General features: G+C 45.3%; 1 protein-coding gene, 1 long non-coding RNA gene and 1 pseudogene across 13 annotated transcripts in view; 1 reads left to right on the forward strand and 2 right to left on the reverse strand.

Moving 5' to 3' along the window:
- On the reverse strand, window positions 405-15027 carry U2AF1 (U2 small nuclear RNA auxiliary factor 1). Of its 8 annotated transcripts, XM_024452130.2 has the most exons (10): window positions 14900-15027; window positions 13235-13294; window positions 12951-13004; window positions 11764-11851; window positions 7902-7968; window positions 3143-3192; window positions 2887-2985; window positions 2104-2237; window positions 1920-2012; window positions 405-698 (listed from the first exon to the last, which is right to left on the reverse strand). In XM_024452130.2, the coding sequence occupies exons 6-10, from the start codon at window positions 3170-3172 to the stop codon at window positions 551-553; spliced, it is 504 nt and encodes a 167-aa protein (XP_024307898.1). In that variant the 5' UTR covers window positions 3173-3192; window positions 7902-7968; window positions 11764-11851; window positions 12951-13004; window positions 13235-13294; window positions 14900-15027; the 3' UTR covers window positions 405-550. The 8 variants fall into 8 exon arrangements, with proteins under 8 accessions (XP_024307898.1, XP_024307897.1, XP_024307899.1 ...); XM_024452129.2 differs by lacking the exon at window positions 13235-13294; XM_024452131.2 differs by lacking the exon at window positions 12951-13004.
- LOC101928369 (uncharacterized) overlaps window positions 15139-24018 on the forward strand; it is a 43255-nt gene continuing 34375 nt past the window's right edge. For 4 of the 5 annotated variants that reach the window (XR_937768.3, XR_937770.3, XR_937769.3 and 1 more), the window contains exons 1-2: window positions 15139-15544; window positions 16791-16965. This is a non-coding gene — a long non-coding RNA (uncharacterized LOC101928369). Of the gene's footprint in view, window positions 16966-24018 lie in introns of all 5 variants that reach the window. The other variant, XR_007067884.1, reaches the window with a different exon arrangement.
- MRPL51P2 (mitochondrial ribosomal protein L51 pseudogene 2) lies at window positions 22662-23296 on the reverse strand (annotated as a pseudogene).

Genomic DNA, 24018 nt, shown 5'->3' on the forward strand with positions numbered 1-24018 from the left:
ACGCTCCCTCCCACGAACACATGGGGTTCTTGACACAAACTCGCAGGAACGAGAAGGTAACATGGGTCGGGCCCACCCACTGTGTCTCACCACAGATCAGCCTTCTTCCCAACATCAGTGCAGTCTACAGCGTGTCTACTGATTATAGCTAAGCACTTCTTCACTAACCAGTTAGAAAAGAAACCCCAAAAGGCTTTCCATGACAGCCTCGAGAAATTCCGGATTATTTAGCATGTAGATCTCACCTGGTATGTGTTTTATTTCATGCCCTAAGATAAAAAATATTATTTCATTTATACTCAAAGTGGTGGATGGATATTAATCTTTACCTCCAAGATGACTAGCAGATTTATAAAGAAAAAGAAATTTAAAGAACTTCCACAAGAAATAAGTTACACCAAGAATACTGTTATCACTACAAATTTTATTCAGAAACCCATCTTTGTATGTTTTTTTTTTTGTTGTTTTTTAAAAAAAATTCCCCTTATGAACTGGTTTGGTCAATCAACTACAACACTTTCTAGCAGACATAAGGTAAAAATGGCATGGCTCAGAATCGCCCAGATCTTTCACGATCTCTCGACCGCCTCCTGTCACGCTCCCGTCCGCCGCCACCTCCACCACCGCCACCGCCACCGCCACGACCACGGTCTCTAGACCGAGAACGACGCTCCCGGGATCGGGATCTTGATCTATGCCTGCAACCAAGGAAAATAAAGAAAACCGTGCCATCCAAACCACGGCACGCAGCACAGAACCACACCCACTCTCTCAACACGCGCAGCTCCTCAAGCCAACGGCACTGATAAGGAAAAACACTGCTGAAGAGACTGCACGCCGTGACTGAGACACACCCTGATTTCAGGTGTGAAAAGTTTCAGGAGAAAAAAATGTGCAACTTAGAAGTGAACAGGTGTAATACCTTGCATCTTCTGTCTTCTTCTAGAACCAACTCAAATGGTCACAGGAAATCATAATCAAAATGAGCTGGACACATACCATCTTCAACCCTCACTGACCCCACGCTTCAGGCGCTCATAGCTACTGTGTCCATCAGGTTTTTGGGCTGGGGAGAGCAGGCCTGTTTTTCTCTTATGCTTCTTGAATGCTGACAATAAAACAATCGCCACCCATCTATTTACTAGTCCATGTTTAACAGAAGAGGGATGAGAACCTCTCCAGACTCAGAACTCAATCGGTTCGATTCTGACGTCTTGATTTTCTCTGCTCTGTGACCTGTCGTACATTTAAATGTAGGATCAGAGAGATGTGACCGCTGGGCCTGATTCTGCCAGTGTCCCGAAGGGAGGATGCCAGCGATCCCAAGACATAATGAAATGCCCTAAAACCAACAAGCAAAACCAAAAGAAACCCCAGTGGACATGTGAAATATGTAAAGCAAAAGCTTGTCCAACCTGCAGCCCAACACAAATTCATCAACTTGCTTAAAACATTATGAGATTTTTTTTGCAATTAAAAAAAAAGTTATCAGCTATCATTAGTGTATTTTATTTGTGACCCAAGACAATTCTTCTTCCAATGTGTCCCAGGGAAGCCATCCCTGATCTAAAGGAGGTTACAACATCTATTCTTCTTCTTCGTAATATCTGGGAGAATAAACTGCATGCCCACTTTCACCACGAGCCTCATGTCCGCGGCTGCCCAGCTAACCGCCCTCTTGCTTGATTACTAAGATCTGATCTCTACTTGAGAAGTTGGATAATGAAGTTACCTGTGTGCAGGTGAATATTCTTCTCCAAAGAGGACATTTGGATATTTAAAAATATGTACTATGTTCTAAGCACTGCCTTTTAAAAAACAGAAACGACACCTATGCCAAAATTTTTTTTTTGGAAGGGGGAGGGTTGTGAGGGGAGAAAGAAGCCACTGAGCTTAACAACGGGCACAGGAATACTCACTTCTTGCGACGGCGGCCATACAGCTCCCGCCGCAGCTCTCTGGAAATGGGCTTCAAATGCATGAAGTTGCAGAAGCCGCCTCGTGTGCATTCTCTGTGGGTGGGTTGGAAGGAGACATTTACTACCTCGTGTGCACACGGCCCCGAACTGTGCTCAGTCACGTCACTGGCCACTCCTCACTCACCCCATCTCATACTGACGGCAGCAGGCTTCTCTGAAGTCCGTCACGGGTGACAGCTCGGCGTGGATCGGCTGTCCATTAAACCAACGGTTATTCAAGTCAATCACAGCCTTTTCCGCATCTTCCTCACGGCGAAACTGAAAAGACAAAAACAGAAGTGCTTGCCATCCACGCTTTAATAAGACTTTCTCAATTACCAATCCAAGTATATCAGAGAGAGATATACACACTCAGGTATAGTAAGGTGGAATAGTATTACAGGATAATTGAAAAATCCTTTATTTTCAATGAGATTAACTTCAAGATAGTCCAAGATTTTGCCAAATGTTGCCTTCATTTTTCAAATTCAACTGGTTAAAGGAGCAAATATGGCTGTGTAGGCAAATAAAGTTTTATTCACTAAAAAAGAAAAAAGAAACCAAACATGTGAGTAAACCTAACTTTTCCTTAGTCCACACAGCTTCTAAACCAACAGGTACTAAATATTCTACACTGAAATAACGATGGCTGTGGTGTACGGTCCGTCCTTCAGTTCTGCTGGCTGGGCGCACGTGTGGGCTGGCCACCGCCACATATGACGCAGCTGGTAGGCGCCGAGCCAGTGCACCTGAGCCCTGCTGTGCGCCTGAGCATCCAGGATCTCAAGGTGCATGGCGACAGGCACCCCATCCTCTGTCGGCCTTGGCCCCGGCACACTAAGCGGCTGCACCACTGTCTCGCTTTCGCCTGTTGGCCTTGGCCCTGGCACACTAAGCGGCCACGCCGCCGTCTCGCCCTGGCTCCTACCTTGACGTACACGTTCCCCACCAGGTGGTCTCCCAGGTTGTCACAGACGTTCATCTCCTCTACTTCCCCATACTTCTCCTCCATTTCTGTAAAAACCTCCTGAAGGGAGACCACAGTGGTTTAAGACTCGTTATACATTACAAAGTGTCATTAGATATAACTCATGTATGTTTATTAGCAGAGAAACATTTTAAATCCTTCCAAACAGATACAGAAGATCAACAGGTCTATCAGTCACAGAGTTCAGTTCTCTCACCTCAAAAAACTCATCATAGTGTTCCTGCATCTCCACATCGCTCACGGCACCTGCAAACAACAGAAATCTTGCTGGTTAGAACATGTTAACCGAGTGAACTCTTGTGTTTAAACTCAAACTGCTACAGTAACACACACGAGATTATCTAGAGAAAAGCCTGGCAGAGCTGCACTCTGCAGGAGCACTCAGGAGACTGAGCCACATGGCTACTTGTGAATGGTGTCAAGTGTGGTGAGATTTTAAATGTCCCCATGACAGTCTCGATTCTGGCTACTAAGGTGTTAAAATCACAACCAGCTTTAATCAGCATCAAAAGGGCCACATTTTCAGAAACTGTGAGGAAAAAGTTGACTCTCAAACTACAAATTTTTTTTTTACACCCACAAGATGCAGTCTGGCTCTGTCGCCCAGGCTGGAGTGCAGTGGCACCATCTCAGCTCACTGCAACCTCCACCTCTGGGGTTCAAGCGATTCTCCTGTCTCAGCCTCTGGAGTTGCTGGGACTACAGGCGACTGCCACCACGCCCGGCTAATTTTTTTTTTTTTTTTTAATTTTTAGTACAGACAGGGTTTCACCACGTTGGCAGGCTGGTCTTGAACTCCTGACCTCAAGTGATCCGCCTGCCTTGGCCTCCCAAAGTGCTGTGATTACAGGCGTGAGACACCGCACCTGGGCTCAAACTAAGAAATATTAAAATTTTCTTCCTTTTAAGATTTAGAGTAAAGGCCAAATAAGCACACTGATGTCTTCCCCTCTTCTATAAGTTTAAAATGAAACCTGAAAGCAGGGTCGATGATTAAAAGCTGATGTTCCTAACTAGTCTTTTATGGACTGCCAGCCATGGTATGCTCTCAAATTCTTCTGATGTGATTAAAATCCAAGCAACCATGAAGATTCAGTAGGACAGTTCACGCAACCTTACGGTATTGTGGACGCCCTCAAGTAAAGGGAATGTTACAATGTTTTGCTGATGAAAGCATTCTTTTTTTTTTCTTTTTTTTGAGACGGAGTCTCACTCTGTCGCCCAGGCTGGAGTGCGGTGGCGCAATCTCGGCTCACTGCAACCTCCGCTTCCTGGGCTCATGCGATTCTCTGCCTCAGCCTCCTGAGTAGCTGGGATTACAGGCGCCCACAACCACGCCCGGCTAATTTTTGTATTTTTAATAGAGATGGGGTTTCACCATCTTGGCCAGGCTAGTCTTGAACTCCTGACCTCGTGATCCACCTGCCTCGGCCTCCCAAAGTGCTGGGATTACAGGTGTGAGCCGCCGTGCCCGGCGCAAGTATTCTTAAGTTTTATATTCCCAAACTATTTTCATCAGTTTATTCTTCATAATTCACATGTATTAGGTAAAATCATGTCTGTTGCGTGGGTAAATTTGGCAAATTTACACTCTATCCCCATCATCATTCTATCAAATTTAATTAATTTTTTTTTCTTTTGAGATGGAGTCTCTGTCCACTCCAGGCTGGAGTGCAGTGGCGTGATCTTGGCTCACTGCAACCTCCACTTCCTAGGTTCAAGCAATTCTCCTTCCTCAGCCTCCCAAGTAGGTGGGACTACAGGCGCGCACCACCATGCCTGGCTAATTTTTGTATTTTTAGTAGAGACGGGGTTTCACCATGTTGGCCAGGCTGGTCTCAACCTCCTGACCTCACGTGATCTGCTTACCTCAGCCTCCCAAAGTGCTGAGATTACAGGCATGAGCCACTGCCCCCGGCCCACTCTATCAAATTCTAGAGTTCTCTAAACCTGAGAAATCACAGAGCTGGTGTATCAACAAACATGTTCCAATCAGCTAGATTAGGGGCTGGCAAAAGCCTGACTGGTTTCCAGATTGGGCCGGCTGCCTTAGCCTGTGCACCCAACGTGGGCATCTGACTGCTGGCACACGGGTCTTTGAGCTTGCTCAAAACTCTTTTTATCTTTTTTTTTTTTTTTTTTGAGACGGCGTCTCACTGTCTCCAGGCTGGAGTGCAATGGCGTGATCTTGGCTAATTTTTGTAGTTTTAGTAGAGACGGGGTTCCACCATGTTGGCCAGGATGGTCTCAATCTCTCGACCTCGTGATCCACTTGCCTCGGCTTTCCAAAGTGCTGGGATTACAGGCGTGAGCCACCGTGCCCGGCCCCCTTTTTATCTTTGAAGATAAAAAATAACTTCTTATTTTCTAATTCTGAGAATGATTTAAGTTCACTTTCTAACCTATCCGGGGCTGTTTTAGTTATTTTTGAACTTCCAGGAATCTGCTTTCGAACCCAAATTTTATTAAGTGTAACTACTCGGACAGCCTGCCAATCATATCACAGGATATCCCAATTGGAAAGCTATTGGGAATGTACCTTCCTCCCCGAGTAGAAATCAAGTTATAAACGGCCAAAGTAGCCTATTCCAAAGGGCAGATTTTAATATTTCAAATTCACTTCCTTCCCACATAAGAAGAATGTGAAGAGGAGAAAATTATTCACATGCTCAAAGTTTTAGCAGGTTTGAGAAATGGTTTTGGGGTGATTATTTTAAATTATTGGCTATATTTGTTCTGCTTAAAATGTTTCAATCAAAGTGACTTGAAAGGCAGAGACAACTGCATTAAGATACAATTAAAAACTTATTTGTGACTCAGCCTATGTTAAATACTACAACTTGGAAAATAAAGCAGTTTTCTTACAGAAATATCATTCTTAAACTGGGATTGATAGTTAACTTTAACCCACGCATTTGAAGCTTATTTTTTTACATACTAAAGGGTATGTTGAAAAGAGCCAGTAATTTTAGGTAATTGATTTCTTCCTAAAATGACGAATTAGAATTTCATCTAATTTGTACAATCTGGACTCCAGAATTGGAATATAACGTAATTGCTAAACTTTTAGTTTGTAGCATATGCAAAACAAAAGTGCTGTGAACTGCAAATAAAGACACAATGAAAACTAATACAACATTCTATTGTCAGTCAAGAAAGCATATACAGTCCCCAAATAAACGATCAGGGCAAAGAATTAATTACTGTTACTCAGTCATGTACTTCCATTCACTTTTATCCCAGGGCAGGGTTGTTAACAAAAATTATTTAATAAGTGCATATAGAAACAATTTCCCTCCGCCTATTGATCTTATTTCCTTAAAAAACAAAAGAAAACAAACAAACAAAAAAACAGGTATTTTAAACCAAGGGTTACCAAGTAAATCCTGCTACCATCCGACTCAGGGAAAGAAATCTCTACTATCAGGTCAGTATTAGCACTGAAAAGCATTTAGTGTCTTGGCAGGAAAAGTTGACAAGAAAATCTCATCCACACATAGAAATGTGCACCACTGTGCAAGGAAGCACAATCCCCAGGCCACCCAGTGCAGGGCCAGCTCGAGAGGGGAATGCCCCCTGGGATCAGCTACCCCATGTCGGTCACCCCATTAACTGAGGGGCTCTGGTTCAAGGGTGTACTCAATTTAGGCTTGTGGATATCCAAGGGCACCTCAATTTTTACTGCTTTAAAACAGAATGGTGAATGGGAAGTGCCTATCTTTGGTTTGGACTTTCTGATTTTAACAAGAGTCCAGGTGTTCATTTTAATTTATCCATAAATGACTAAATTCTAATGATTCTATAGTTGGATGGCTGTAAAAATCAAATTTTAGTTTTCTGAACTTCCCAATCATACTCATCTATGATATCTCCTTCTCTAAAAATTATCATTAGGTAAATATTCACAATCTAAATTTAGTATTTCCCAGTACAGGAAGATATTGGTACCATCTACTGAATGCCCAGTTTTGATCTATTTCTAAATGGAGCAAACCAATTCCATCTCCTAGAGCTGGAGACTGTATCCAGGCAGTGTGTGGACAGAACGGACAATCTTTTCTGCCAAGGGCCTATTTGAGTGGAGCACCCCCACACGGGTTAGACGGGTCGGCACGGGGCTGGTGGGTGAGGAACTCAGGGGTCAGTGCAAGCTGCAGACCCTCATTTGGGGAACGCTCTCAGCACAATGCTCTTACAACTACAGGGTGCACTCCAAAATGGAGTTCAAGGAAAAAAGGCTAATGAGAAATAAAATCTGAAAAAATAACTTAAAAAGTTTGCTTTTTAAAAATTCCAGAAAGTGAGAGAAACATTCAAATTTTGTTGCTCTAAGAGGGAAGAATATGACTCGACGTTTAATTCCAGTACATTCCCTCTAGGATGACGGCCAAAGTAAAGGAAGAAGGGGCAGCAGCAGCTCCAGACTGTTTTTTTTTTTTTTTTTGGAGACGGAGTCTCACTCTGTCGCCCAGGCTGGAGTGCAGCGGCACGATCTCAGTTCACTGCAACCTCCGCCTCCCGGGTTCAAGCGATTCTCTGCCTCAGCCTCCCTAGAAGCTGGGATTGCAGGCATCTGCCACCACGCCCAGCTAATTTTTGTATCTTTAGTAGAGATGGGGTTTCACCATGTTGGCCAGATTGGTCTTGAACTCCTGACCTCATGATCCACCCGCCTCGGCCTCCCAAAGTGCTGGGATTACAGGCGTGAGCCACCGCGCCCGGCCCAGCTCTAGACTGTTTTAAAGGGCACCCTTTCCAGTTACTTTTTCCCTTTTAACACACGGTGGGAGTTCAAATCTCCAAAAGAGGTTTCCATGGGGTCAGTGGGACGAAAGCTCCTTGCCACCTCTAGTGAAACGCGGTCCTTGACACTAGCACGGCAGACCAGATGGAGTGGACACTGAGCTCTGACACGCAAGCCCAGGGAACCGGGGAAGGAACTTGTATGAACTTACAGCGCAAACCGTCAGCAGACTGGGAAGAGTTTTGAGGGTTACGGTAAATGTTCAAGAGGGCAATGGTCTGAAATACAAAACGCAACAACTTTATATTATGGAAAATTAAAGGTAAACACTTAACCGGCTGCCTCTGGCAAGTGCTTCAGTTGAGATTCAGTGCTGAAAAGAGAGCAAGTTATTTTCTGGAGAAGCAGAGGCGTTTTCTCAGTTGGCGGCTGCCTTGAATCCCTAACACTGCGGTGTAACGGAGGTCTCATGATATGCCCATCTTGTACTTCTGCTTACAGAACGTGAAAACTCTCCTTTTCAAAATTCCAATTCAGGTAAAAGCACAAATAGTTTGCCAGGCTAGCACCAAAATGTTCTTAGATGTGGCAGAAAATTTTTAATGAACTCGGAAAGAATAATGCTTACATAAACTGATGGAAAAAATTACTGTATTAGAGAAATACAATTGTTACATATCATGAAATCTCCACTTCCTGGAGGAAAAATTATAATGGTGAAATAAAACCCACACTTACTGGGCAACTTACCTTATTGATTCCTTAATATTCCTAAGAGTTTTAATTTTACACAAAGAACTTAATAAAGGCCAGGGGTTCAGTCACTGTAAAGACCAATGAATGGCTCAAAATGTTGAAATCCGTTTCACATGGACGGACCTGCTCTCATGACAAATGTCAATCAATGGAGGTGGCCGGGCCAGTGACCCTCCCTAGAAGGGATAAGCCTCCTGAACGTGGCCAAGTATCAAGTTCTTGCTGTGTGCGCCAAGGAGTTCCAGCACCTTGTCCTGTTTGCAACAGCTCTATGTCAGCAGCTCAGAAGCCAACATTATTTGTCTCAATTAAGAGTGGGCTCTTTAACACCATTGTTTTAAAAAAATTTCTCCAACTGTGGGACTTACAGTGTGAGCCGTCAGCCGTCTGTGCACTGTTTTGGGGATTACGATAGATGTTTTGAATCAAGATGGTCTGCGGGGAAAAAAAAATAAAAAGGGGAATTCTACTGGCTGCTGTGCATATATTAGACAATTGCAAAGAGACAATTTGTTTGCAAATGGCTAAACGTTTGTTTTTTTCCCGCAAGTCAGACATTTGTCTTCTGAAGAGTACACCAAAACCATCATATTATGAAAACAGAGTTTGAGCAGTGACTTGGGTCAAGTCAGCCAGCAACCAAGAAGAAACTGTATTGTTTTGATTAGTCCCACGTTTTCAATGTTAAAGTGTTTTAATGCAAGATAAATAGTAGAATACTAATATTTTCTTGTACTTCAAGCTAGCAGACACCAAGATGTGGAAAAATTCACGTTATAATCATATTCCTCACACAAGATAATTTTTCAAAACCAAATGCGTAACTCAGCTGTCTGCAGTACATCAAGTTCTCTGGTCTCCTAGCAAAACAGGCACACCAAACAGGTCTGTCAACTGTCATGGACACCCGGCTCTGATTTACACTTTCTTGGTGGGATCTCTGTTTACATAATACAATAGCTTAAAACATTTGCTCTTTTCCGATCCTTCTTTTAAGGAAAAAAAATCCTTTTAGCCCTTGTGCTTTAAACTGGATCAGGCAGACTTGAAACCTTACACTGTACCGTTCTTCTTAAAATCAAGTTGTCTGAAAAAACAAACCATGTTTAAGTTAGTAGGCTAATATATTACATGAATCTTAACGTCCATATCACTGTAAGCAGCTTATAAAGAAACCCACCCTGAATTATGCTAGAGATTTACAAGCTAAAGCAATCACTCGCATGATTTAGAAAAATAAATGTTTAGTCTCAACAATATCCACGTGAAGCAGTTTTGTAAGTGGTGGTTTTATAAAACCAGCCAGCTCCATTTCTAGCTCTGTTTAAAGGGGAGTGGTTGTATGAAGAGTTCCTCAGTCAAAGGTGTGCAGCTGGGAAGCCCACCCCACCTAAGAGGGAGGTCTGACAAACTGTCCACACTGAACCACTCAGACCTGCATCAGGGCCCCGTTTCTTCCATAAGCCGCCAAGTACAGCCCTGAGTCAACTGAACTCAGGCCTGGGAGGCTTCCCAAAGCTGACTTGACTCAGCTTTGAACTGAAATGACCGTACCATGACAACCCTGATGAAAAGCTAAACTGAGCCCAATTATTCAACAGTAAAATTCAGTTGGTCTCACTCAGGTATTCTGGCAGTGGCTATTTAATGAAGGAAGCTTAACGTAAAGAGGCAATGCAGTCTAATGGGAAAGCCAAGGGTGGCTAGGATTGCCTAAAACCAACCAAAACAAACCCACGCATCAAACTAGGATGCTTAAGCTGACACATACTACTGACCCCATCGAGCTCCAATGGGCTCTCCCCAGCACTGACCTGGAATGCCTAAATTAACTTCACATTTCACATTCTCAGGTAATCTATGATCCAGAAAAACATAAAGAAAGTGCCTCCAGCCAGATTAAAGAAAACTTTTAGAATAGGGAACAGTTGATTTCTCTCAGCCCAACACTTGGGACACCCCCCAAAATCAAAGAACTGGGTGGTCACTTAAGATGCTTGGTTATACCACAATCCATGGCCACTGGTTTAGTTAGGGGAGATTCGGTTCATAAATCAAAACATTAAAGAAAAAACAATTGCAATACACAGAAAATGTAAAGCTAGTTCTCCAAGATTTTGAAATTTGTAAAAAGAAACTCATGTTCAGAGCTATCAAAAGACAGACTGCTATTATACTAACCACTTGGTAATTAGCATAATGGAGGGAAAAGCCATCATCCTCTTCCCTTCTAAAAACACTGTGTGCTGTGGGGTCGTCCATGGGCTTCAACCGGAAAAAACCCATGTTTCCTTCTCCCAGCTCACTTACACAAAGTGGTAGATTTTCTTAAATGCTTACAGGAAAACGTATACAGACAGATGTGAGCTCAAAGGCAGAGCCTGGCAGCTCCCAGGGACCACGCATAATAGCTACTCAACAGCTCAGAGGCTGCACATTTAGACTTCAAGGGTGGGTTGGAAGGAGTTCCCCAGCCCTCCATCTGGAAAGACTTGGGCATCGATTTTCAAATTTCAAATGTTCTCATCAACGTGGGCACAAGTTTTCTGCTCCGATTAGAGGTGCCTTCTCCCTTTAATCCGTAAGTGATCCTTTATAGTGTACCAACCTTTGCCTTTTCTTCAACTAACCAAAAATAAAACTATCAAAACTCACAACTTTTGATTGAACTGAACTCAGAGCGGATCTAAGCCCAAGATAACAGGCACTCCTCAATTAACCAAACAGACCCGCTAAGAGCAATTTACGGCCCATTTTCTACCTTTCAGCTTAATTTTTCATGTTTCCATGACGTGATGCGACTCGCTGTTTCCTCAGCTAGGGATGTGAAAGTGAGGACGCAGCCAGAGAAGCTCGAGCAGCATGATGGGCCTGGTGACAATCACGCTAACTTGGAAGGTGGCTCCATCACCTCTACTGTCTGGAGACAGCAAAGAGCAGAAAGCCCACTCCGTGTCCACTGGTGCCTGGAGGAGGCTAACCCAAGGCTGGCACGGCCACCCCCTCTGGACCCATGTCTATCAGAGGGGGTAGGGAAGATGGCAGGGCAGCAAATATCAGGCACAGCCAACACACAAACATCAAAAACTGATTTTTAAAGTTTCTCTAATGATAAAAACAAGGAGTGGTGGTCTCAGACCTTCCACTGGAAGTCGATCACCTGCCTCACTATTATTTAAATAAAAGAACACACTTATGAACACAAATGGAAAATACAACTACGAGAGAAAAAATGACTTGCTTAATATGTAGAAATTAACTGTCTTTGAAAAGAACATGAAGTTTTTATAATTTACATGAAAAAAAGGCAAACAAACCTGGCTAAACGTCGGTTTATTGTGCAACCGAGAGCACCTGTCTCCATGACGACATGCTCCAATTTTGAAATAAAATGAACAGTTGACTCTGTAAGGGAAAATGAGAGCTGATTATTTTGCTGGGAAGATATCAAACACATGGAATATGTCAGCAGCATGACATACACTATCAAATTACTTTTAACCTCACAGAAACATGACACAGACTTTTTTCCGTGGTATTAAGCACCTCCTCTTCCTTGCTGTATTTTAGGACAACGTAACTTCAACTTCCCTTTCTGCAAACACACTACTTGTTCAGCAAAGACGGTTCTAACTCTAACCCGCCTCCTCCTCATTCAAATCCCCTCCACTTTCCTAACTGCACAGCTGTTCTGTTTGTTTCTTAAATGGAGTATTAAATTAGTCTAAAACTAAATGTAACTTAGGCAGTATCTGTTCTCCAGTTCTCCACGACCAAGTTCTCTCTTGAAAACACCGGTGTGGTGAGGGTTAAGATCCCAACTCTGCTACCAGCTGCTTGGGCTTGGGCAAGTCACCCTAGCTCTCAGATGTCATCTGTAAATGATGACAATGCCAATGTGGCACTGTTCTGAGAGTCAGACAGAACGTATGTGTGCTTCACATATGGTGCTCATGAAGTGCTATCATTATCTAAGGAAAACAGAAAACGAAGTTCAGAGTCTCTCTAAACGCATGACACCAGACCAACAGGGAGTTTCAAAAAATAGGTCTGAAGTAAATCAATTCTCCTGGTCTCAATACACTGAAAACAAACTATTAGGGGACTGACCGAACCCACCTTAGGAACCACCTTACGTCACCTTCTGTCTCTACTGCAAAACCCTCCCTTAATACTGTTCAAATACGCTGACAATCCAGATCCATATCCAATGGAACCAGCAATCATGCCTGTGTGCCAGCAATGTCAGGGAGGGAAGCCGATCTCTGATGAATTAGGACATCTTACCAGACAGACTTTGTTCAAAATTCAATTTTTTTTTAACCAAGTGCCATTATGTTTTAAACAGTCAATCCAGAGTTAAGATTGAAGGGCCTCAACCTCAGTGAAATCTAATGGACCATGAAGACTGACTAGCCACTGATTTATTATCAGGTAGCAATAAAGATGGGAAAGTCCAAATTTATCAGGAGAGGAAAGTGATTATATATATTTGCAAACTTACAGGTCTTGAGATTATTTAACTTGATTAGACAATAGCATATCTTTAGGAAGTCATCTAAAAATAAAGAAAGCTTATTTAAAAACTACCTCAGAATGGGCAAGCCCTGGGCCTCAACAATTAATATCCAATTATTCCACACAATTAAACTACAGACAAGCTATTAGGATATCCCTGAATCTAGAAAACATCTATAACTTCAAACATATAATAAGCTAAACATTTTTTAATTGGTAGAGATCTATATTTTATTCTTAGCTTAAATAATAATTAAAGTTAATATGAACCATCAGCTTCATTTTTCAGGAGTTGATCCTGTTCCCTGGAAGCTAAAACCCCACGTCTCCCTGAAAAGAAAACACAAGTAACCTAGATTAAATAATCAACTTTTCTGAATTAAAACCATGACCTTTATAGTATAGCCCAATAGATTGAAATGTGGTTGCTTATAGCAGAAATATAGGGAGATAGACTTTTACAAGACAGAAGTCATGCCACATGCAAATATGAAAAGGAGAAATTAATGATGCCCCGATCCTACATGTGTTAGTTCTTCACCCTAAACTCAGAAGAGTCTCTTGTTCCGATAGAGCTGGTCTATTCATTCGCCAAGATCATACCGTGAGTTCCTTAAGGATAATATCCAAATTTTACCCATGTTTAAGTCTCCAGAAACTGACCTATAGTTGACCCCCACTAAATGTTTCTGGAGTGACTATAACTGGTAGATTTTGGCTTAAAATTTTGCTAGAAATATAGCCTCCTCATCCAAACAACACAGGAGATTCTACCATGTGTGAAGAGGACATTTTACAAGATAGACTCCATCCTGGAAAAGAGAAACATTTTAAATAGCGTTTGAAAAAAGTGGCATTAAAAACATCTATGACAAACTTAGGGGTTTATCATTGAAAACATAAAGTCATGTTAACTTTGTATGGCACTGAAGAATGCCAAGATAACTAAAGAGTAGATTAAGCCAGATGCTGAGTCTTTAGGTTTTCAAAGTAAGAATTATCCTTCAAACGTCTGAAAACATTCCATTTAGTCTAAACTACAGCCAACTCACTGGAAATTAGTACGTGCCAAGGTGGCAATTAAAGCTGAAATTAAATGTTTTGCTTTTAACCTAACGATTGATTAGGGAAGGCATGCAACCTTAAGGAAAAAATCAAAACATCTTTTTCCTTATATCAGAATTGTGTCTTCAAGAACAGTCACCGACTTACAAATTTTCAACTTAGATGATGGGTTTATCGGGGTATTAAAGGCATTTTCGATTCATGATGGGTTTATCGGAACGCAATCCCATGGTAAATCCAGGAGCACCTGTATGTTAAGAGCGGATCACGTCTCTTGTGGTTAGATAGTTAATCCAGTAGTCTCCACCATACTTTTTCTCGTCATATCTCCTTACTGCCGGCCCAGCGGTCGCTTAAACAGGCAAGAGGCTGGCTAAGTGGATAAAACACCAACGCTTAGGACCCTAAGTTAGATAAGCGACTGAATACTGGCGAGGCTGGTACCAGAGCTTGCTCGACAGGACATTCACAGCCGAAAGTTGGAACAAACGTGTCCACGTCCAAAAGGCCCGGATGCTCCAGGCAACTTTCAGCGCGGCTCGAGGCGGCTTCCGGGAGTCGGCGACTCGGAGGCCCGGACGTCGGGCGATCAGCCAGTCCGGACCCCAAGGCCGGAGAAAGCTCGGCCGCGGCGCCCCGAAAAGAGACCCCATTCATTCTGCCCGCTCCAGTTTTCCGCCGCGCGGCCCACGAGGCGGCGGCTCCGGAGGGCGCGCAAGGGGCCGGAAGGGCCACCGCTCCTTCCCGCCGCGCGCCCCTCCCCCGCCACCGCCGCGCCGGCCCGCCTGGGCCTCCCCGGTCGCCCTCCCACCGCCTCAACCACCCTGCGCCCCGATCGCGCCCAACCCCCGGCGGGGGGCTCCCACTCACTTGTCTTTCTCGGTGCCGAAGATGGAGGCCAGATACTCCGCCATTTCCCACCCGCCGCCGCCGCTGCCGTCGACACTGCTGCCGACGCCGCCGACCCTGCCGACGCCCTCGGGAGACGTCACCCGGACGCGACGACGCTCTTCCCCGCCCCGACGTGGCAGCGCTACCCAGTCAGGCGAGGTGCTGCCTGCGCGTGGGCGGGACGCATGCGCGTAGGGAGCACGTAGTGCGCGTGGGAGGCTCCGCCTTTTCGGTCCTGGGAACCCGCGCCCCCTGCCGGTGCCCTCCCCGCCCGGCCCTAGCTCTCTCGCCTTCTCGCCCGCCCGGCGCTGGCCCTGCTGGATCCTGCGCGCCGGGGACTGGGGGCTGGCAGTGCAGACCGAACCCGGGGCCGAGGGGCTTCTCCACAGAGCCGCCTGGGGCTCGGTGGGGGGCGCTCAGCTCGACCCCAGCTAAGGGAGCACTAGGAAGTGCGGGCGTCCCCTTCCCTGCACCCTTGCGGGGCGGGAACCGTCGACCTAGAAGAAAAAAAAAGCTGAGGCAAACTTGATATAAGTAGAGAGGTTATTTGGGCCAAGTTTGAAGATTGCAACCCGGGAGCATAGCTTCAAGTTGCCCTGAACATAGGATTTGCAACAGTGACAAGTGGGTTTATAAAGCTTAAGAGGGGGGCAGTTCTTAAATAGCTCACCAAGAATTTACATGAAAATAACAAGCTATTAATTGGCTGTACGTTGTTCTTTATATCATAATTCCAGGAAAGGAAGTTCATGGGTGAAGGCAGCGGGTCCGGAGCAATAGTGCCTTTAAACAATTGCCAGGCATGGGTGGGGACCGCTGAAGCCGCATAGACCTGTCTCTCCGGGCCGGATTAACCTCGCACGCCTCACATAGCTCGGACGCTCTGTGTTGTTTTTCTCTTCTCACACCCCTCTCCGCTTTACCCTCCCTCAGCGCTTGCCAGGTGCGACCTCCCCGGGGCCCTGCACTCTTGCAGTTGCCTGGCCAAGGCCACCCACAGGTGGAGCTGGAAGGCCAGTGACCTGCCTCTGGGATACCCTTTCAGTCTCCTCATGTCACAAGGCTGGAACCATTCCGTTGGAAGGGTTCTATTCCTCTCCTGCGTTTTAACCCCATCAAGCAGCCATTTTCATCTGGTTTCCCACATTCATCAACTCACCTGCGATTTACCTAATTTCCAACGCAACTATCAACTCTGATTAGGTAGAAGTCAGAGAGACAGGGCCTATTTTACTTACCTCCTCCACAAGATGAGCCCCAGACTGTGGGGCAGGACCATGGGATCCTCTTAGCTCGGCTAGAGCTGAATGCTGAGCTCTAGTGTTTGGGCGGATTTGCGTGTTAGAATTGCATTTCTCTTGGCAACAGAGCATCTTCCTACCTGGGAAAGATGAGCAAACTGGAAACCTGTATTAGAAACAGTAGGGCCTCAGAGGTTTAAACCAAAAAGTATCTTGAGACAGGGCTCAATCAATTTAGAAGTTTATTTTGCCAAGGTTAAGGACAATGCCTGGGAGGAAAAAAAACACGGTATCACAGAAACAGTCTGTGGTCTGTGCCTTTCTCCAAAGATGACTTTGAGGGCTTCAGTATTTAAAGGGGAAAAGTGGGCTGGAGGGGAAAGCGGAACAGTGTGGTAATCCACACGTTGCAAGAGAAAAGAAGCAGGTTGGGAACAGTCGACTGTGTACAGCTCACTCCTCAGCAAATCAGCACTTTACATAAGAGAAGCGGATGTTGAACCTTCTATCTGTAGCCGTCTGCTTAGGAACGAAAGGAAAGGCAGCTGCTTACATGACTCAGCTTTCAGCTCATTCTTTTCCTTTTGACAGAGTGAACTGGGGTCCTGACTTTTGTGTTCCTTTCGCAGAGGTGAGGCCAGAGAAGTGACAAGACAGATGCCAGTCCAGCAGGTGGGCATGTCCAGAAAGTGCAGCCTCAGGACACGGTCTGGGAACAAAGACTGCTGGAGAGTTGGAAGCTGGCAAGAGGCTCTCAGCTGTGAAGTACCTGGGGTGGGGGAGAAGTGGTCGGAGAAAGCAGAGGTAAGGTCTGTGCGTGGGAACTGAACTGAAATCCACAGCTCTATTACAAGGAATTAATCTGGTTACTAGAACCAGGGTAGATGATCAGACCAGGCAGGGCCACCAGTACCATCCACCCATTTTTCCTGAGAAAAGAAAAATAGGGTAGTCTGAGCTCTGTGAGGTGTGCAGAATGATCAGGCCCAGAGAGGCAGGAGTGTGGGACTTCATTCAGCGCCTCTTCCACCATAGAAGCAACTGTCCAGGGCAATTGTTTGATGGAATTTTTGCTCCTGACAGGCTGCCTCACCCATTATCTTCTTGTTCACATGGAATTAGTGATGCTAAGAACGATGCATAGCCAATCAGCACCTTCTGTTATTTTAATGCAAATTCTTGCTAACAACTTAGGGACTGCCTCTTCCTTTTCCTTAAAACCCCACTGTGACTGCTGCTAATGGGAACATATGTTCAGGGCAACCTAGGGGCATGTGCCCAGGGAGCCATCCTCAAGCTTTGGGCTCAAATAAACTCTATACTTAATCATATTTCCTGAATTTCATTATTTGAGGTTGACATTTTGGCAACCCAGATAGGACCTGAAGCAGGCCTTCAGGGATTGCCACTAAGTAGTGGCATCAATAGTTGGAGCCTTGGTACCAGCACAAACGACTGTTGTTTACTCGACCTCACTGGGGCTGGCAGGGGTCTCTGGTAAGGCCAGTCTTGGGATCTGAATCCTCCCAGCTTAGTTGAAGATTGAGACTTACACACTAATAATTTGATAGGGTTAGAACTGAAGCTCCACTGAAAGGTAGGAGTTTCCATTTTTATTCTCTAGAGATTCTGTTGACTGCAGATTTGTGATTTTCACTTCTGTCTGAGGTTTTGCTTGTCTTTTTACAGTTTGCAGCCTTTTCTCTCATTCGAAATTTGGTCAAGGAGAAAGTGTCATCTTTAAAACTGGCCATATTCTGAAACTTGGTTCAACTGACAAATCTAAACATTCTTCTTCTTCTTCTTTTTTTTTTTTTTTTTTTTTTTTTTGAGACAGAGTCTCGCTCTGTCGCCCAGGCTGGAGTGCAGTGGCATGATCTCGGCTCACTGCAACCTCTGCCTCCTCAGTTCAGGCAGTTCTCTGCCTCAGCCTTCTAAGTAGCTGGGATTAGAGGCGCCTGCCACCATGCCCTGCTAATTTTTTGTATTTTTAGTAGAGTTGGGGTTTCACCATCTTGGCCAAGCTGATCTTGAACTCCTGACCTCGTGATCCCCCTGCCTCGGCCTTCCAAAGTGCTGGGATTACAGGCGTGAGTCACCGCGCTTGGCCATTTTCTTCTTTAGTGACCAAAATTCCTCCCCTTAGGCATTTTTGGTCATTCAGAAGGAAAATCTAAATTATGGACACTTGTGCTTCTAGAGCAGACATGCATCTGCAGAGACGGCAGCTGGATTCGTGGACAATGCTTATGGTGCCACCTTCTGTCAGTATCTAGAAACATGGTCTCACTTAACCCGTGAAGACCCCAGACTATAATAGCTAAAATGGGGCGCCTTTAAAGTAACTAGTTTATGCACTCAATAGGAAAAATCTGCATCTAAAATTTAAAAACTGAGAGAGCTATTTTTCAATGATACTTAGAAGCTTCTAAAAGAAGTTCTGATGAAGTCATTTCTTTGCAAGAAGAAAACAGAAGATTATCTGAAACTATTTCTTTTGTTTGTTTGTTTTGAGACAGAGTCTTGCTCTGTTACCCAGGCTGGAGTGCATTGGCGTGATCTTGGCTCACTGCAACCTCTGCCTCCCAGGTTCAAACGATTCTTCTGAGCTGGGATTACAGGCATCCCCCACCTTGCCTCGCAATTTTTTTTTTTTTTTTTTTGAGACAGAGTTTCATTCTTGTTGCCCAGGCTAGAGTGCAGTGGCACGATCTCAGCTTGTTGCAACCTCCCCCTCCCGGGTTCAAGCGATTCTTCTGCCTCAGCCTCCCAGTAGCTGGGATTACAGACACCCACCACCATGCCTGGCTAATGTTTTGTGTTTTTAGTAGAGACAGGGTTTCACCATGTAGGCCAGGCTGGTCTCGAACTTCTGATCTCAGGTGATCCACCAGCCTTGGCCTCCCAAAGTGCTGGGATTACAGGTGTGAGCCACCACGCCCAGCCATCCACAGTTCTTTTTAAAATTTAGAAGTAGTTTCAGGCTGGGTGAGGTGGCTCACACCTGTAATCCCAGCACTTTGGGAGGCCAAGGTGGGTGGATCACGAGGTCAGGAGTTCAAGACCAGCCTGGCCAAGATGGTGAAACCTCATCTCTATTAAAAATACAAAAATTAGCCGGGCATGGTGGCGGGCGCCTGTAATCCCAGCTACTTGGGAGGCTGAGGCAGAGAATCACATGAAACCCAGGAAGCGGAGGTTGCAGTGAGCCAAGATGGCGCCACTGTACTCCAGCCTGGGTGACAGAGTGAGACTCTGTCTCAAAACAAAAACAAAAACAAACAAACAAAAAGACCATGGAGGCTTTCTCCTGTTTGTTTCCAGCTGCTGCTTCTCCTTCTGCCTCTGGGATGATCTAAACTCATCTCTTTCTGCCTGTTCCCTCAGCTCCCATACATCTCTTAAGCAGTGTTTTTGGAATTCCACAATGCACACATTTCCTTCTCTCAAAAAGGGGAAAGTATATTTAAATTTGGAACAGACTGGGTGCGGTGGCTCACACCTGTAATCCCAGCACTTTGGGAGGCCAAATTGGGCAGATCACCTGAGGTCAGGAGTTCGAGACCAGCCTGGCCAACAGGGTGAAAACCCGTCTCTACTAAAAATAAAAAAAGATTAGCGGGGAGTGGCTGCGGGCTCCTGTAATCCCAGCTACTTGGGAGACTGAGGCAGGAGAATCACTTGAATCCGGGAGGCAGAGGTCGCAGTGAGCCGAGACGGCGCTATCGCACTCCAGCCTGGGCGACAAGAAGGAAACTGCGTCTCAAAAAAACCCAAAACAACAACAACAACAAAAATAAAAAATAAAAAATAAAAGAAATAGGCCAGAAAAGAAATGTTAGCTCAAGCCTGTAATCCCAACACTTTGGGAGGCCAAGGCTGGTGGATCACATGAGGTCAGGAGTTCAAGACCAGTCTGGCCAACATGGTGAAACCCCATCTCTACTAAAAACACATGTGGTGGCATGTACCTGTATTCCCAGCTACTCGGGAGGCTGAGGCAGGAGAATCGCTTGAACCCAGTAGGTGGAGGTTGCAGTAAGCTGAGATGGTGCCACTGCACTCCAGCCTGGGCGACAGAGCGAGATGCTGCCAAAAAGAAAAAGAAAAAGAGAAAGGAAGGGAGGGAAGGAGGGAGGGAAATTAAAAAAATAAAATGCTAACATCCAGGGAATTAGTTCAGCTGAGATCAGATCTGAAACAAGTCAAAACCCTTTAAATGCTCAAACTGCCTGCTCTGGAGCCCCTGCAGGGTTTGTCAGTGCTCCAGCCTGTGGGCCAGAGGCTATGAGTCTCTACAAACATGAGGCTATGTTTGCAGCCTGGGTTCAATTTCCAGTCCTGTTTTTTTTTTTTTTTTTTGAGACGGAGTCTTGCTGTGTTGCCCATGCTGGAGTGCAGTGGCATGATCTCGGCTCAGTGCAGCCTCCGCCTTCCAGGTTCCAGCAGTTCTCCTGCCTCAGCCTCCCGAGTAGCTGGGATTATAGGTGCCCACCACCACGCCCAGCTAATTTTTTGTATTTTTAGTACAGACAGGGTTTCACCATGTTGGCCAGGCTGGTCTTGAACTCCTGACCTCAGGTGATCTGCCTGCCTCGGCCTCCCAAAGTGCTGGGATTACAGGTGTGAGCCACCGCGCCTGGCCTTCTTTTTTTTTTTTTTTTTTTTTTGAGATGGAGTTTCGCTCTCGTCACCCAGGCTGGAGTGCAATGGCATGGTCTAAGCTCACTGCAACCTCCACCTCTCAGGTTCAGTCAATTCTTCTGCCTCAGCCTCCCAAGTAGGTGGGATTACAGGTGCTCACCACCACGCCTGGCTAATTTTTGTGTTTTTAGTAGAGATGGGGTTTCACCATGTTGGCCAGGCTGGTCTCGAACTCCTGACGTCAAGTGATCCACCCACCTCAGCTTCCCAAAGTGCTGGGATTACAGGTGTGAGCAGCAAGATTTCTTTTTCTGAGCTGTCTTTAGAGTGGTTCTGACGCTTAGGAAGACTGCTTTGCATTTCTTTGGAGATGCTTGGTTCAGCCTTGGTTAAGTCATGACCTTCGTTATGCCATTACCTTGGTTAAATCTTTGTTTTTGAGATGGAGTCTCGCTGTGTCACCCAAGCTGGAGTGCAGTGGTGCGATCTTGGCTCACTGCAACCTCTGTCTCCTGGGTTGAAGCAATTCTCCTGCCTTAGCCTCCCGAGTAGCTGGGATGACAGGTGCATGCCACCACACCTGGCTAATTTACCTTGGTTAAGTCTCACTGGTTTTGTGAGTAACTTGAAAATGTCCATTTCGTTTTTTTTTTTTGAGATGGAGTTTCGCTCTCATTGCCCAGGCTGGAGTGTAATGGCCTGATCTCGGCTCACTGCAACTTCGGCCTGCCAGGTTCAAGCGGTCCTCCTGCCTCAGCCTCCCAAGTAGCTGGGATTACATGCATGCACCACCACACCTGGCTAATTTTGTATTTTTAGTAGAGACAAAGTTTCACCATGTTGGCCAGGCTGGTCTTGAACTCCTGATCTCAGGTGATCCACCCACCTTGGCCTCCCAAAGTGCTGGGATTACAGACATGAGCCACCGCACCCGGCCAAGTTTTTTCTTTTTTTATATGTAATAAGTTGGATAAAGTGTTTATAAAAAGTTAAAAGTAGGCCCTCAAGCAGGTAAAGTAGGCTTGCTTCTTTTCAGAGCTATCCATGCTGATTCCAGGCATAGAGAATGCCTCCTTTGCCCTATTCATTAAAGGGCTTCACCCTGAAGTCAGTAATCTAATAGAGAAACAAGCTAAGTTGAAAAGACCCTGTGATGGTTAATATTAGCTGTCAACCTGATTGGATTGAAGGATGGTAAAGTATTGTTCTTGGGTGTGTTGTGAGGGTGTTGCCAGAGGAAATTGACATTGGAGTCAGTGGACTGAGAGAGGAAGACCCACCCTCAGTGTGGGTGGGCACCATCCGATTGGCTGACAGTGTGGCTGGAACAAAGCAGGTGGAGGAGGGTGGGAGAAGCTGGCTTGCTGAGTCTTCTGGCTTTTGTAGCCACCCAGTGAGTTCACCTAGCCGGCTGCCTAGATGGAGCGGATTTATCAGGACAGGGGAATTGCAATGCAGAACGAGTAATTTACACAGAGCTACCTGTGCGGGCGACTGGAGTTTTATTATTACTCAAATTAGACATCCCAAGAATTTGCAGATCAGAGTTTTTAAAGATAATTTGGCGGCTCAGGAAGTAGGAGTGCTGATTGATCTGGCTGGAGATGGAATCACAGGGAGGTCAAAGTGAGGTTTCCTTGCTGTCTTCTGTTCCTGGGTACAATGGCAGAACTGGCTGAGCCAGATAGCCGGTCTGTGTGGTATCAGCTGATCCATAGAGTACAGGGTCTTGCAGAATAAATACCTCAAGCACTGATCTTCGGATTACAATGGTGATGTTATCCCCAGGAGCAATTTCGGGAGGTTTGGACAGCCAGAGGCTGGATGACCTTTAAATCAAAATTTCTTTTTTTTTTTTTCAAAGAAGCCCCATTTTATTACAGAGAGCATACAAAGCCGTTTCCTCATAAGGAAAAGTACAGCTTCCCTTCTCCAGGGTGACAGATGAGCCTTTTCTGAAGTTCTCAGCTTTCTCTTCTATCGATATTTCCCATGTCAGTTAAAGTGTTTGTAGAGACAGCTGATGCGTTTATTGAGGTTGTGCAGCTCATCAGCAAACATTCTGTTTCCAACCATTTTCTTCTTTAGCATACAGCGTTGCAATTCATTCCCCTTCCAATCTCGAAGCCATATGGGGTCCCTGATCAGCTTTTGGGGTGCTTTTCAAAGTTTCCCAGGATCCTGATGTTGTCATACACTCTGAACATGGCCATCCTTTCGTTCCAAGGATCAACTACTTTGGGGGGTAGGAGCCTTATACCAATCAATCTAGGAATACCAAGAAAGAAGCTTCTGCATGCCACACCTAGTCCCACAGGCGCCTACCTGCCCTACATAAGAGGCTCCCTGCCATTTCTCTAGTCTGCCCCTTCAACAGCACACCAAATAAGCCCAAGAATGAGGACCAGATGTGGCCTTCAAGAAGACAACAGGAACCGTCCCTGTCGACTTCACACGGGTACTAACGTGAAGGCAGCCACCTTGGGCCTTAAAATTTCTAATCTTGTAGCTAATTTGTTACTCCTACAAAGGCAGACTGGTTCCTAGGCAAGAAGGGGATCTTTCTGGGAAATGGCTATTATCAATTTTGTTTCAGAGTCAAACTATAAGCTAAATTCCTTCCCAAGGTTAGTTGGCCTGTGCCCAGGCATGAACAAAGACAGCCTAAAGGTTAGAAGCAAGATGGAGTCAGGTAGGTCTGATCTCTTTCACTGTCATCATTTCCTCAGTTGTAATTTTTGCAGAGGCAGTTTCACTTTCATCTTTCTCCTGTGCTGGATGCCTCCTCCGTTCCCCCTGCCCTTGGACATCAGACTCCAGGTTCTTTGGCCTTTGGACTCTTGGACTTAAGCCAGTGGTTTGCTTGGGACTCTCGGGCCTTCAGCCACAGATTGAAGCCTGCACTGTTGGCTTCCCTACTTTTGAGGCTTTTGGACTCCGACTGAGCCACTCCTGGCTTCCTTCTTCTGCAGCTTGCAGACGGTGTATCATGGGACTTCACCCTGTGATGGTGTGAACTAGTTCTCCCTAATATACTCCCTTTCATATATATGTCTATTCTGTTAGTTCTGCCCCTCTGGAGAACCCTAACTAATGCAGACCCTTGTGTAACTTTGATATCCAAAATATGGCTTTCTAGCATTTAGCTGGCTATTTTGAAACTCTTTGTAAAAAAAATTTATATATATGAAGGAAATCTCCATTTGTAAGGGT

This window comes from Homo sapiens, chromosome 21 (genome assembly GCF_000001405.40).
Source record: "Homo sapiens chromosome 21, GRCh38.p14 Primary Assembly".
NCBI classification, from domain to species: Eukaryota; Metazoa; Chordata; class Mammalia; order Primates; family Hominidae; genus Homo; species Homo sapiens.

Coding starts and splice junctions, on each gene's coding strand:
- U2AF1 (NM_001025203.1), bottom strand. CDS start 14,943: ATGGCGGAGTATCTGGCCTCCATCTTCGGCACCGAGAAAGACAA. Junction 2,986..3,142: donor ACTATGATGAGTTTTTTGAG/GTGAGAGAACTG, acceptor GTCTCCCTTCAG/GAGGTTTTTACAGAAATGGA. Junction 2,238..2,886: donor TGGGGAACGTGTACGTCAAG/GTAGGAGCCAGG, acceptor TTGTCTTTTCAG/TTTCGCCGTGAGGAAGATGC.